This window comes from Homo sapiens, chromosome X (assembly GCF_000001405.40).
Source record: "Homo sapiens chromosome X, GRCh38.p14 Primary Assembly".
Lineage (NCBI taxonomy): Eukaryota > Metazoa > Chordata > Mammalia > Primates > Hominidae > Homo > Homo sapiens.
In genome coordinates, this window is record NC_000023.11 from 16,872,131 (window position 1) to 16,887,130 (window position 15,000).

At 39.4% G+C, this 15,000-nt stretch overlaps 1 pseudogene, besides 1 other annotated feature; it reads right to left on the reverse strand.

Moving 5' to 3' along the window:
• RNU4-6P (RNA, U4 small nuclear 6, pseudogene) lies at positions 2,987 to 3,190 on the reverse strand (annotated as a pseudogene).
• Positions 10,308 to 10,357: an enhancer, noted in NCBI's record as "active region_29457". NCBI's record gives its function as "activates an Ori minimal core promoter by ATAC-STARR-seq in GM12878 lymphoblastoid cells {active_cell/tissue: GM12878}" and the evidence as "EXISTENCE:reporter gene assay evidence [ECO:0000049][PMID:35858748]".

The following is a 15,000-nucleotide window of genomic DNA, read 5'->3' on the forward strand; positions in this document are numbered from 1 at the left end:
AGAACCTCGTGTGCAAAGCAAGAGGCGGCTTGGGAGATGATTTGTATCCCTTTAATACAGTGTACTCATTTCTGACAAGTAGACATGATTTCCAAAACCTATTAAAAGAAATGTTTAAAGGACTGAAAGAAAAGAAATCTTCCCAGACGACTTGGCTTTAAAATCTTGATACTGTTTACCTCAGTGAGGGTCAGAGAAGGAAATATGGAACAAATATTTTGGGAATTTCTGAGAATATTCACACACTATCATGCATTTAATCCGAAAGTGTCATGTACAGCATATTTCATTAGTTTTGCATTTTTGTTGTTGTTAAATTGAATCTGTCAATTCTATTTAATTTTTTGGCCTTTTTTCCATACTACTTTTTTTGCATTAAAAAAAGTGATATGTTTTCTCTCTTGGATTGCTTAACTGTTGGGTTTGTTTTGCCTTTCTCCCCAGCCTCTTAGCTCTGGTCCTAATCTTTTCTGGCACTTTTCTGGGGTTGTTCTTTTTGTCTCTCCTGTGCTCAGCTAATAGAGTAAGGCACAAACAGGTGCACACACACAAGGAAGGGATGAATTTTATTTCATTTTTTCGAAAATGCAAATTCTAAATGGACTTCATGATTGCGCTTAGTCACAACTTGAAGTTTGAAAAACACTACACTATGATTTTTAAATTTCTATTTCTTTCTTTTTTTCTTTTCTTTTCTTTTTTTTTTTTTTTGAGAGAGGCTCTCATTCTGTCACCCAGGCTGGAGTGCAGTGGCACGATCACAGCTCACTGCAGCCTCAACCTCCTGGGCTCGGGCAAACCTCACACCTCAGCCTCCCAAGTAGCTGGGACCACAGACACAGGCCACCATTCCCAGATTTTGTTTTGTTTTGTTTTTAGTAGAGACACCGTGTTGCCGAGGCTGGTCTCGAACTCTTGAGTTCAAGGATCTGCCCACCTTGGCCTCTCAAAGTGCTGGGATTACAGGCATGAGCCACCGTGCTGGGCCTAGTTTTTAAACCTTTAGCTGTTGCCGACTACCCTTTATAAAATAGCAACACGCCCTCATCCACCCCCACAGGTAATCACCTCCTATCCCCTTTACTCTATTTTCTGTTTTTTCACAGCGCTTATCGCTTATCGCCATCTGACAGATGTTTGTCCACAGGCTTTTTCTTGCACACTAGAATGTAAATTAGAGGGTAGGATTCTTGTTTTGTTGTGCCCTCAGCACCTGGACCGGTGCTCACCACATGAGGAAGCTGAGCCAAAGTGGTGAGGTTTCTTGCCAAGGTGACATAGCTAGTGAGTGTTGGAGTTGGAATTTGAATTTAATCAGTCTTATATTAAGACAGCGAAAGTGATCCTATGGATAGAACAAACTATTTACTAAAAGGAATCAGAGACATAGTACCCAGACATACCTGCAGAGTGATTCCATGTTCATTAGCAGCTGTGGTTCACTAGGTTGGGGGCAAAAAAGTTTTAGCCATTCAAAAAAATTTTTGAAGTACCTACTGTGAGCCAAGCAGTGTTCTGGAAACTGCAGCTAGCTGGATGAACAAGGCATACAGAGACCCTGCTCTTTTATACTCTCCTTTATTGTTTGTTTTTCTTATTACAAAAACAAAGCTTGTTACAGAAAGATCTGAAAATTATACAAGCAAAAGAGGAGCATAAGGAATACCAATTTTGTTTCTGGCCAAATTGTTTTCATCCAGTCATTATTAGGAGCAGAAGAAAATACGCTAACATATTAATAGCTGTTGTCTCTTGATACTAGTATATTGTTGTTTTATTCTTCATATATTGCCCTATTTTAAAATTTTTTCCATTGGATGCATAGTGCTCATATAAATAGAAAAAACGCATGCATTTTAGAAAAAAAAATGTCAGAGGAGTAATACAAATGAAGAGTTGTCTTAATGTGATAAAATTCTAAGAAATTTCTTTTAAAATATTGTTTAATGCAATTGTGTGAGAGGGAGTTGAAGGAAAATTCTTTTAATAGAAAATACACTGTTCTTTGAACTCGTACTTTGTTTGCATTGACTATTCTGATATTTTATTAGGAAAAGTGAAGTAACTGTTTTATACTTACAAATGTGTTAATATGTAACCTTTGTGGGGTGTCCCTCTGGATTTCTAAAAGACCAACCTACCCTGTTGCTAGCTATTGAGGCTAAGCCACTTGAGCTCTGCATTGGGGACAGTGAATAAAGGAAATGACCTAGACCAGAATCACTGAGGCTTAGACTTAGAATCACTGGGGCGTGGTAAATAAATATTTGTCAAACGAAAAATAATGAACAAGAAACTCTTCTTAGGCTTGTCCCAATCCATAAGCAGCAATGAGAAAGCTTTGCATGTAAACCTTCTTTTTTTAATTTTATTTTTAATGGACATCACAATCGTATAAATTTATGGGGTACAATGTGATGTTTTGATTTATATTTACATTGTGAGATGATTAAATCAAGCTGATTAACAAATTCGTCACCTCTCGTACTTAACATTTTTTGTAGTGAAAACTCTTAAAATATACACTCAGCAATTTTGAAATGTATAACACATTACTATTTATTATAGTCACCATTCTGTAGAATAGATCACTAAAGCTTATTTCTCCTAAATGTAGAATCTTCTTGTAGACACATAGCCCTGAGTGTTTCACTCCAAGCACAATGTTCTTTTATTCAAAGTTTTCATATACAATGCATTCTTATTTACCACTGAAGACCTCTTCTGAAATTTATTAAAGTGTACGTTTGTTGTAATTTCTGGCCACCATCCATTTTTCCTTCTCCAGGAAACAGCATGCTAGATTTCTTTTGAGTGAACTACTCTTCCTTAATCAGTTACAGTTTGGGAGGACTGTGCATCAGGATGTCCCACTCTCTACCAGCTAAAAGGTAGGGCGCCTGACCCCAGTGGGCAACACCCTTCTTGGAATATGAGTTCTATAGATTCATGCTGGTGAAACACCTGGAGGTGCAAGTCCGTTGATTCCTGCTTCCTGGATCTCTGGAATGGCTCTGGTTCCTACCCTTTCCAAGTTGGCTCCTTTGATTCTGTGAGCTCTTACTTAGCTTTTCAATTAGCAATAATCACGCCTCGGATAAACCTCATTGGCTACGATACTGCCACTGTGCAAAGCTCCTACGTAGCTTTTATAGATTTCCTTTTTCCTTAAGTTAGCCTGTGTCCATTTGTTGCCTACCATCAAAGAAATCTGATATTTGCATAAACCTACCTCCTTCTCTCTCTAAGTCCTGAATTTAACCACAGATTATCCTGAATAAGGAACATGACATTTGTAGCTGGAGAGGACACACACACACACACACACACACACACAAGGAGAAGTAAAACTTGGGGAATCTAAATCAGATGAGTGGATTGACTATCCTGGTTGAGATCTTATACTATTCTTTTGCAAGATGTTACCTTTGTGGGAAACTGGGCAAAGTGTACAGGGGATCTCTCTATACTATTTCTTACAACTGTGTGTGAATCTACAATTATCTCAAAAATTGTAATTAAAAAGTATAAATGGCGTGCAGACCACATGTTCTCACTCATAGGTGGGAATCGAACAATGAGAACACATGGACTCAGGGAGGGGAACATCATACACCAGGGCCTGTTGGGGGGTGGTGGGCTGGGGGAGGGATAGTGTTAGGAGAAATACCTAATGTAAATGACGAGTTGATGGGTGCAGCAAACCAACATGGCACATGTATACATACGTAACAAACCTGCATGTTGTGCACATATACCCTAGAACTTAAAGTATAATAAAAAAAATAGATAAAAAATAAATGGTGTGTAGAAAAAAATAAAAAAACCTTAATGATGCTTTCAGTACTGTTCCATTTATCAACTGAAATAAAAGCAACAGTTCCTGTATGTGTGGAGTGGTTCTTTAAAAAGCTTTAAAATTATAGACAATTTTAAACACACAAAACAAAACAGAATAGTGGAATGAACTATCTATGTACATACCATCCAGCTGCAATAGTTATCAGCTCATAGTCAAATGTGTTTCATCTCTCTCCCCAATCCACCCTTCCGATCTCTTATTATTTTGATGCAAATATTACACATCACACTATTTCATCTGCAAGTATTTCTCTATGCATCTCTAAAAGATAAGGACTTTTCAAAAAATTCAAAATAACTACAATACATTCTCATATGTAAAAAACTAACAGTAATTCCTTGATGTCAATATCCAGATAGTATTTACATTTCCTGCTTGTGTGTGTCTTAGCTTTATGGAGGTATAATGTATGTACAATACACTGCACCCATATAAAGTATACAATTCAATGGATTTTGACAGATGTAAACACCCATGAAACCACAACTACAATTAAAAAAAAAACAAAAAAACAGAACATTTCAATCACACCCAGAAGTTTCCTTGTGCCCCTTCCTCCATCAATGACTACTGAGCAACTACGGATCTGGCTGCTGCCACCACAGATGAGTTTGCAGAGAACGTGATTTTGGAAAAAAACCTACTTAAATGGTACATAATTTTATAAAAATTAGAAGGGTGTTTAGAGAATGAAGAAAGATGTGCATATATTTTTGTCTGGTATATTTCAATAGTGAGCCCCAAGGCAGAAAGCAAGTTAAATTTGGAATACTCCAATAGTAGCAGCCCTTACTCAACATTTTTTGGGGGTATACTATGTGCCAGATATTTTACCTATATTATCTAATCTGTCTCCTGATAACCTTACAATTATTATTAATCATGTTATTATCATCAAACCCATTGTACAGTTGAGTATACTGAGGCTGAGAGAGGTTAAGTAACTTGCCCATGATCTCACAGATTGCAGCTGAAAATGTTTAGATAAAAAAACAGATCGTCTGACTCCAGAGACAATTCCCTTAAACACTGAGCTGTAGTCAGTTTATCAGCAAAAAGAACTGATAAGAAAATAACACCTCAAGGTGTTGCTAAAAAGTCTTACCTCTCTTTGACAAAGGAGCAAAGGCAATTAATGGACAAAGGATAATCCTTTTAACAAATGGTGCTGGAATAACTGGACTTCCACAAGAAAAAAAAAATCGAAGCCAGATATAGGCCTTACACTTCTCACAAAAATTAACTCAAAATGGATCAGAGACCTAAATGTAAAATGCAAAACTACAAAACTCCTAAAAGATAGTATAAGAGAAAATCTAGATGACTTTGGGATTGGTGATCACTGCTTAGACACAACACCCAAAGTATGATCTACCAAAAAGAAAAGTTGATAAATTAAACTCTATGAAAACTTAAAACTGCTCTGCAAAAGACATTCTTAAGAGTACAAAAAGATAAGCCATAGAGAAAATATTTGCAAAACATTTATCTGATAACGATTGGTATCCAAAACATATAAGCAATTCTTAAACACAACCTTAAGAAAACAAACAGCTCAATTTAAAAACAGACACCTGAACAGACAATCTGAACAGACACCTCACCAAAGAAGATCTACAGATGGCAAATAAGCATATGAAAAGATGCTCCACATCATATGCCATTACAGAATTGCAAATTAAAACAAGAAGATACCATTACACATATATTAAAATGGCTAAAATCTATGGAACAGTAAAAAGATCGGTGCTTGCCAGAGATTCAGGAGCGGGGAGGGAGGGATGAATAGATGGGATTTTTAGGACAGTAGAACTATTCTGTATGGTACTGTAATGGTGGATACATGTCATTATATCTTTGTCAAAAGCCATATAATGTACAACACAAAGACTGAACCCTAATGTAAACTATGGACTTTGGTTAATAATAATGCATCTATATTGGCAGATCAGTTATAACAAATGTGCCATATTAATGCAAGATTAACGTGTGAAATTAAAGTAATAGAGATTAACATGGGTGAATTAACATGGGAAACTGTATTAATGGGAACTGTACTTTCAGCTCAATTATTCTATAAACCTAAAACTGCTCACAAAAATAGCCTATTAATTTAAAAAGCCTTATCTTCTCTAAGACTCATTTTCCTCATCTCTGAAGTGAGGAGTTGGACTAGATCTCAGAATGAAATCCTGTATTTATAAGTAGAGATAAATTGTTTTTTTATCCCCTTACATTTCCAAAAGGGTTCACTTTATTATTTTTCCCTTTCTCTGCCATGTGGCTTTCAATGATTGCATTGATAGATCAGCCAAGCTGGCATCACTTGGCTGTGGGTGTTCCGGCAAAGAATAGGCTCACACAGAGGATTCAAAAGTTTTCTTTATCAAGTCTTTTTGGTGATCTTTTAAATAAAACTTTGGGGGAAAACGTGTTTCTCAGGTCTAGCAAATGTTTTCTGTTCCTTAGTTTGAAGGTCATTTTGTGTATTCATCTATAATTTAGCTTCAGCGACCTTGAAAATATGATCATTTCAAGTTAGAGTAAATATTCAAATTTTTTGGGGAAATCCTTTATTTTTTTTTCTTTTCTTTCTTTTTTTTTTTGATATAAAGTCTCGCTCTGTCACCCACGCTGGAATGCAATGATGTGACCACAGCTCATTGTAGACTTGACCTCTGGGACACAAGCAATTCTCTCTGGACTATAGGTAAATGCCACCATGTCTGGCTAATTTTTGCATGTTCTGTAAAGACATGGTCTCTCTATATTCCAGGCTGGTCTCAAACTCCTGGGTTTAAGCCATCCTCCCACCTGGGATCCTCCCATGTGGGGATCACAGGAGTGAGCCACTGCACCCGGCCAGGAAATCTTAATTATCCTATGATTTTAGTGAAATCCTTTGTTAACCATGCCATGTAGCCAAATATCACAGTAATTTAGTCTTAAATGAACATAAAGATTTATATAGTAGTGTAAATTGGTCACATGGACTTTATTGTTTCATCCTGGCATTAAATTAAAAGACATTCAAGAGCATCATGGCCATATGAACTCTGCCATTCTAACTTCTCCTTGCTGAAGGGAGGTACAACATTTATATAAGCCACCATGTCCCATTCTCCCTACTGGCAGTCATAAGTGTTTGGTCATGTTTAATGAGTCAAACTGAGTGAAGAATGAGGTATTAGAGAACTAGATTTAAAAAAATCAGCAACCATCATAATGTATATCATAATGTTATTTAAGTTGTAAATGTATAAATGTGCTGTGGATGATTCCTATTGAATCGTTTTTTTTTTTGTGAGACGGAGTCTCATTCTGTTGCCCAGGCTTCCCAGGTTCAAGTGATTCTCCTGCCTCAGCCTCCCAAGTAGCTGGAACTATAGGCGCCTGCCACCACACCTGGTTTTTTTTTTTTGAGACTGAGTCTCACTCTGTAGCCCAGGCTGGAGTGCAGTGGCACGCTCTCAGCTCACTGCAACCTCCGCCTCCCGGGTTCAGGCGATTCTCCTGCCTCAGCCTCCCGAGTAGCTGAGACTACAGGTGCGTACCACCACACCCTGCTAATTTTTTTGTATTGTTAGTAGAGACAGAGTTTCACTGTGTTAGCCAGGATGGTCTCGATCTCCTGACCTCATGATCCGCCCGCCTCAGCTTCCCAAAGTGCTGGGATTACAGGCGTGAGCCATTGCACCAGCCCATATGTTATCATTTAATTCCTAAGGAGTCAGGGTAATTTGAGTTGATGTACCTTAAATTTACATTAAATAGTATTTTGTTTTTCTGGGGGTAACTTAAATTTACATTAAATAGGTGTTGTTTTTCTGGGGGTAACTGTTAACACTAAGTATTTTTGCTTATGTTATATTAATTATTCTTTTCTAGTCAAGAAAGAAGAGACTTGCCCCATCCACCACTTTACTACCATTATAGAAAGGAATGTTAAATATGTATATTTAGATTGCTTACAGCAGTGGCTTTTACATTTTTCTTGGCTGCAACCTATAGTTACGCATACATTTTTCATCTATATGTCTATCTCATCTATCTATCTGATACTGAAACATTTTTTTCAAAAAATAGTACTTATTTTTGTTATGTATAATATACTCTGATATGATCTGTTTTGTTCTATTTCATTTTAAAAAGTGCTGCTCATGACCCTCTAATTTGATTCCACGAATGGGCCAAGACCAGCAGCTCGAAAAATGTGGCTTGGAGAGCTCCAGATAAAATGTGCAGTGAATAGACAAAATTATCACATGTAATGATAAAAATGCACTAAAAGAAGGTTTTTACCACTTCACTTCTGAATAAATGTAAAAATTTAAAACTAACATACCATACACTATTTCTGGGGAGTAGGATTGAGAGATAAATCCTTTTAATTTTAGCTTCAAGATTGTTTGAAAAATAATTTTCACATAGAACTTTTATAGTAAAAAAAAAAAATCTAACATGATATAGTTATTTACCCCAACGAGCTGATGTTGTACTTTCTAAAAGTAATGTTTTATAAAAAATAGTAAAAAATTGGGCGTAACAGGAACATGGAATTATAGGGTATTAGTTGCATAAATTGTAGATTATTCATGGGATGTACTATGGAATCATCATAAATGATTATGTAAGGTCTAGCTCAGTGGTTCTCAACCAGGGGTAATTTTGCCTCCCAGGGGACATTTGCCAATGTCTGGACACATTTTTGGTTGTCATAACTGGGAGAGGGGGATGCTTCTGGCATCTAGTGGGTAGAGGCCAGGAATGCTGCTAAACATCTTCCAATGTAGAAGACAGCCCCCCACAACAAAGAATAATCCCCAAATATCAATAATGCTGAGACCAAGAAACCCTAGTCTAGCTAAAAGGCTATATCTATATTTAACTCATTTTGCAAAGCTGTAAGTAATCTTTTTGGTACATGTACACCCAGAAAAAAAGAAGCTTTCTACCTAGGAAACCAGACTACCTTGTGTCTTGTAATTGTTTAATAAATATTTGTTAAATTATTACATAAGAAAGAAGATGAAATCTGTAAATACTGAAATGGAAAGATGTCCACAATATATTTGACTGAAAAACAAGCAGGTTATAAAACAGTATAAGTGATCTACAGATTTAACGCAATCCCTAACTCAGTTAAATTCTTTGCAGAAATTGATAAGCTGATCCTCAAATTCATATGAAAAGTCAAGGCATCTGGAAAAGCCAAAACAATCTTGAACAAAGCTGGAGGACTCACACTTCCCTAGATCAAGACTTACTACATGCTACAGTGATCAAGACAGTGTGGTACTGGTGTAAGGATACACATATATATTAATGGGATTCCACCAACTGACAAATGGGTAAATAAAATGCATTGTGTCTATACAATGAAATATTGCTTGGCAATAAAAAGAAATGAAGTCCTGATACATGCTACAACATGGATAAACCTTGAAAACATCATACTAAATGAAAGAAGCCAGACACACAAAAAAAACATATTGTATGGTTCCTTTATTTATTTATTTATTTATTTATGAGATGGAGTCTCGCTCTGTCACCCAGGCTGGAGTGCAGTGGCGCGATCTCGGCTCACTGCAACCTCCGCCTCCCAGGTTTAAGCAATACTCCTGCCTCAGCCTCCCATGTAGCTGGTTTTACAGACGTGTGCCACCATGCCCAGCTAATTTTTTTTTTTTTTTTGTATTTTTAGTAGAGTTTCACCATGTTGGTCAGGATGGTCTTGAACTCCTGACCTCAGGTGATCCGCCCACCTTGGCCTCCCAAAGTACTGGGATTACAGGCGTGAGCCACCTCGCCCGGCCGTATGGTTCCATTTATATGAAATGGCCAGAATAGACAAACCCATAAGTACACAAAATAGATTAGTGATTACCTAACGTTGGAAGGTTTAGGGGAAAATGAGGAGTGATTGCTAATTTGTCCACTTTCTTTTAGGAGGTATGAAAATGTTCTATAATTAGACTGTGAATGTACTAAAAGCTAGTCACTTGTATGCTTTAATTGGGTGAATTGTATAGTATGTGATTACATCTCAATAAAGCTAATTTTTTAAAAAAGAAGAGCCAACACGATGTGTCTCTGTGCCCCAGAATGTAGTGGGCTCAGATAAATGTGGAACGTTAGCGGGTCAGCGTGTACCTGGTTTCCAAAAACATTCTTTGTGAAACTCTTGATTGACGAGTTGCAGCTGCAGGAGAAGGGATGTGACTTGGCACTTGCTCCCAGACAGGGACAATGCACCGAACACAGTGTACACACGTAGGTGCCCATTTGAAGGGGTAGCTGTTCTGAGTTGAAGAACTGCACCAGGTTCAACCCAATTCTTGTACTGTGCATGTCCTGCGTGGGGGAGGGACCCGGAAGCTGTGCCAGACCTCAGGAGGCAGCTGCTGTTTGGCCACGTGCATTGCTCACTGAATATCTCTTAAAGTTAAGTAAACCAGTGTAGGGGGAAATGCCATTATGTGTAGTACAACCGTATATTTAGCTGTATTAGTGATTTTATCTGGGTGACAGGATTTTGAGTGATCTTTATTTTCTTTGTATTTCTCTGTGTTTACTGATTTTGTGTGTGTGTGGAAATATTAATATATTAATGTCTTCAGAAAAAAATCTGTACAAAGAGGTTTAGCTGTCCCCCCGCCCCGCCCCTCCCCAGCACCAGGGGTGTTACTGGTGAGGCTGAAATCCCAGGCAGAAGAGTCAGCGGCCGCCCAGGTCCCTCACGTTTTGTGCATCCTGTGGCGAGGGTGCTTGGGGACCCGCAGAACTCAGGCGGGGACTGCTTCGCGGGAAGCCCCACCCCGCCTCCACGGTTCTTCATTTCTAATGCGCAAGCGTGAGAACAGCCTTGCATGGGTGGTAGGTCGGGCATAAACTCTTGGGCTCAGGCTCCAGGCAGGCTAAGCTCTGGTGCCAGCTGTGTGGGGGAGTGCCCGGAAGGGCCAGGTGCCCGGCACCCAGAAACAGGAGTCCCCTTCATCCAGTGGGAAGTGGAGTCTCAGTCTAGTCCTCCCAGTCCCCACAGGGGGAGCCACAGGTTCCAGCTTGTTTGTTGCCAGGTGCCACTGAGAGAGCGCCTGGGATCATTCATCGAATAATCCTGCCCGTCTCTCCGCACTTTTAAACAGCCATATAGTACCATCCTTTGTTTAAACAGAGAACGTCTTTATCCCACAAGGGTAGGTAGTCCAGGAAATACCGAGATATAGGAACAATAGGATTACGGAATCAAACCTTCTCAAACAGATTTTCCTTAGTAGTCTCTAGAGCATTCAAAATGCATATTCTATTTTATGTCTCTTTTCTTTCTAGTAGTCAGATTACTGAAGATTACTAAGCTATCCCTTTTATAAATGTGCTGCTTCGTCAGCTAAACGCAGACCAGTTTCCACCTCTAGCCACGGGAGGGCGCACAAATCAAGTGACGTTTGGTATAACATGTTTTAGGACCTCCTGGCTTGGGTTGAGGAAAAAAACAGGGGCATTGTGGTCCTCTCATGAATGTAGAGCAGCACTATCCAATGGAACTTTCTGCAATGATGGAAATTTCCAATATCTGTGTTGTCCAGCACGTCAGCCACTAGCCACAAGTGGATATGTGGCTAAAATGACTGAAGAAATTAAATTTTAATTTTAGTTCATTTAACTATACATTTATTTTTATTTTTACTTTATTTTATTTTTTGAGACAGGGTCTTGCTCTGTCACCCAGGCTGGAGTGCAGTGGCGAAAGCACGGCTCACTACAACCTCAACCTCCTGGGCTCAAGTAATTATCCCACCTCAGCCTCCCAAGTAGCTGGGACTACAGGCCTGAGCTGCCGTGCATGGCTAATTTTAAATTTTTTTTATAGAGACAGGGTCTCTGTATGTTTCTCAGGCTGATCTCGCACAACCATCTCGGCCTCCCAAAGCACTGGGATTACAAGCGTGAGCCACCGCACCTGGCTAATTAAAAATTTAAATAGCCACACATGGCTACTGGTTACTATATTGGAGAAGAGCATTAGACTGTATAGGAATATTGATTTTTCTGAATGGCTTTACAAAGTTGGCATTTAAACGACTTTGAATCTAACAACAATACCTTAAGGGTAAAGAAAACTAACATTGATGTTCCCACCATTGGCCAGCTTCTGTGCCAGGCAGACTTACATTCCCATCTCATTTAACCTTTGCTATGCCCCTCAGTGAAGGATATTAGTATGCTCATTTCATGAAGATGCAGCAGACCCAGAGAGATGAAGTAACTGGTTCAAAGTCATCAAGAAAGTCACTGAGCTAGATAAATGCATCTAACATTCATTGAGAACCTACAATATGCCAATAAATATTTCAGCAAGGCACTATTACAGACACTGGAAATCTATAATAGAAACCAATGCTAGGCTGGGTAAGGTGGCTCATGCCTGTAATCCCAGCACTCTGGGAGGCCGAGGTGGGCGGATCACCTGAGGTCAGGAGTTCAAGACCAGCCTGGCCAACAAGGTGAAACCCTGTGTCTACTAAAAAAAAAAAAAAAAAAAAAAACCAACCCAGAAATCAGCCGGGCATGGTGGCGGGTGCCTGTAATCCCAGCTTCTGGGGAGGCTGAGGCAGGAGAATCACTTGAACCCGGGAGGCGGAGGTTGCAGTGAGCTGAGATCACGCCACTGCACTCCAGCCTGGAAGGCAGAGTGAGACTCCATCTCAAAAAAAAAAAAGAAACCAATGCTAGATATGGGGACCTTTTTAGCAGATGCTGTCATTTTGTCCTATATAGCATTTTCTGATTTATCAGAGGACAATCCGTACATTTTAGCACATTGTATTCTCAGAGGTAAAAGGTACTTCCACATTAGCCCCTTATTGCTCTCTGATGTATGAAATTCTCTAATCACTGTGAGCTCTGATCAAGGCAGGGAGATAATTGCATTTCATTTCCAACTCTGTCACTAACTAGGCCTATCCCCTTAAGTAGATGGTTTGCTCTTCCGGATCTATAATTTCCTCATTCCTCAAACAATGTTTTTAGCCCAGGAGAGATCCAAAGGTTATTTCGTATTTCACTGATTATGAGACTCATTCTCTTTTTCCCCCACATTTTAACATCTCTGAATTAACGTTCATCTGAAATACGTCATAGTATAGTTGGCAACATATTTTTTCTTAGTTTTATATATAAAATAATGGTGTATCTTATAATCATGGCACCTTGAGCTAGACGAAATATGATCTGTGTAATTTAATAACGTCATTGAAAATATGTATCTTCATATTTATTTTAATATATCTGAATATATTAAAACAGAAACAAAGACAATGACCTTTTATTGTGATTCTAAATCCAATTTAGAATATTAAATTACATATGTTATAATCAGAGCTTGCCCAAGTAACCATGCAACACACAAACTCAAAAATCTCCACTGCAGGCTGGGTGTGGTGGCTCACACCTGTAATCCCAGCACTTTGGGAGGCCAAGGTGGGCAGATCATTTGAGGCCAGGAGTTCCAGACCAGGTGTGCCAACATGGAGAAACCCCATCTCTACTAAAAATACAGAGATTTGCCGGGTGTGGTGGCATGCACCTGTGATCCCAGCTTTTCGGGAGGCTGAGACAGGAGAATCGCCTGAACCTGGGAAGCAGAGGTTGTAGTGAGCCAAGATTGCGCCACTGCTCTCCAGCCTGGGTGACAGAGCAAGACTCTGTCTCAAAAAAACAAAACAAAACAAACAAACAAAACTTCACTGCAGTGTGCTCCCATGTAGAATGGAAGATCAGCAAGATTCATCTTAGACAAAGTTGGGGGATGGGTACAATTTTGTTTCTCTTGAGTTTCACATCCTTTTTCTTTATTTCTCTCCTTCAGGTACTTAAAGCTTTTAAGCAACTTCTCCTCTGTGATGCCTTCTACCCTTTCTTCCCTCCCTAACCCCCATCTCTATCAGCTACACTTGAGAGTCAATTCATTCCAGGGATATTTTCTCATGAAGATTTATGACCAAGGGAATCACCTGGTATTATACCAGTGATGTGTTGGTATATGTTTAATAACCGGCTCTCTGGTGGTGGGGGAAGGCCTGATTTGCAGCACTTGCCAATTTCTGTGGTATAAATACTCCTGCAGTGGCTGATTTCAAGCTACCGATCTGACGTCAGTCACCTCATAAAATTCCTGAAAACTTCACAATGAGCTCTCATGAACCAGTATGACCCTTCTCCAACACATCACTGCTTGGTACAGACCTGATTATTCCATTCTTCTGCCAGAATCCTGTGATGATTTCTGATTGGCTCCAGAGTGGATTCCAGTTTCTCCAGCTTGATATTTAAGAGCAGAATATGATCTCATGGGTGCTGAAGCTTATGCAGTTTGGGGGCCCTCTTTAAGAACAATAATACGAACTTCATAGTACAACATTAGATACAAAAGTGAATAAGTATTTGGAATGAGAAATCACGACACATTACAAATGTTAAAAAGCTGACAAATACCAGAAACATCACAAAATCTGGAAAAATCACATAATATGCTTGGAAGAACTTTCCCCAGGCTTGCTTCTGGCTTTGTGCATTTTAAGCCTTTTTTTTTTTTTTTGAGACAGAGTCTCACTCTGTCGCTCAGACTGGAGTGCAGTGGCGTGATCTCAGCTCACTGCAACCTCCGCCTCCCAGGTTCAAACAATTCTCCTGCCTCAGCCTCTTGAATAGCTGGGATTACAGGCACACACCACCAAGCCTGGCTAAGTTTTGTAGTTTTAGTAGAGACGGGGTTTCACCATGTTGGCCAGGCTGGTTTCAAACTCCTGACCTCAGGTGATCTGCCCACCTTGGCCTCCCAAAGTGCTGGGATTACAGGCATGAGCCACTGCACCTGACCATAAGCCTCGTTTTTTGTCCACTACCCACATCTGGTGCCAGGTGCCCTCAGACATGATCATATTGTGATATGTCCTCTGGCAGTGGGGTGTAGGAGTATTCCTGAGAGCTATTCCTTATTTGGATGGCTAATCAATGACTTAATCATTCATGGAAATGACCGTCAAACATGTATGTTTCTCTAAACCCTAGCCAAATATATCTCCAACTCAACTTCCCCTAGCTAGATCCCCAAAATGCCTGTAGCCACTCTAATGTCA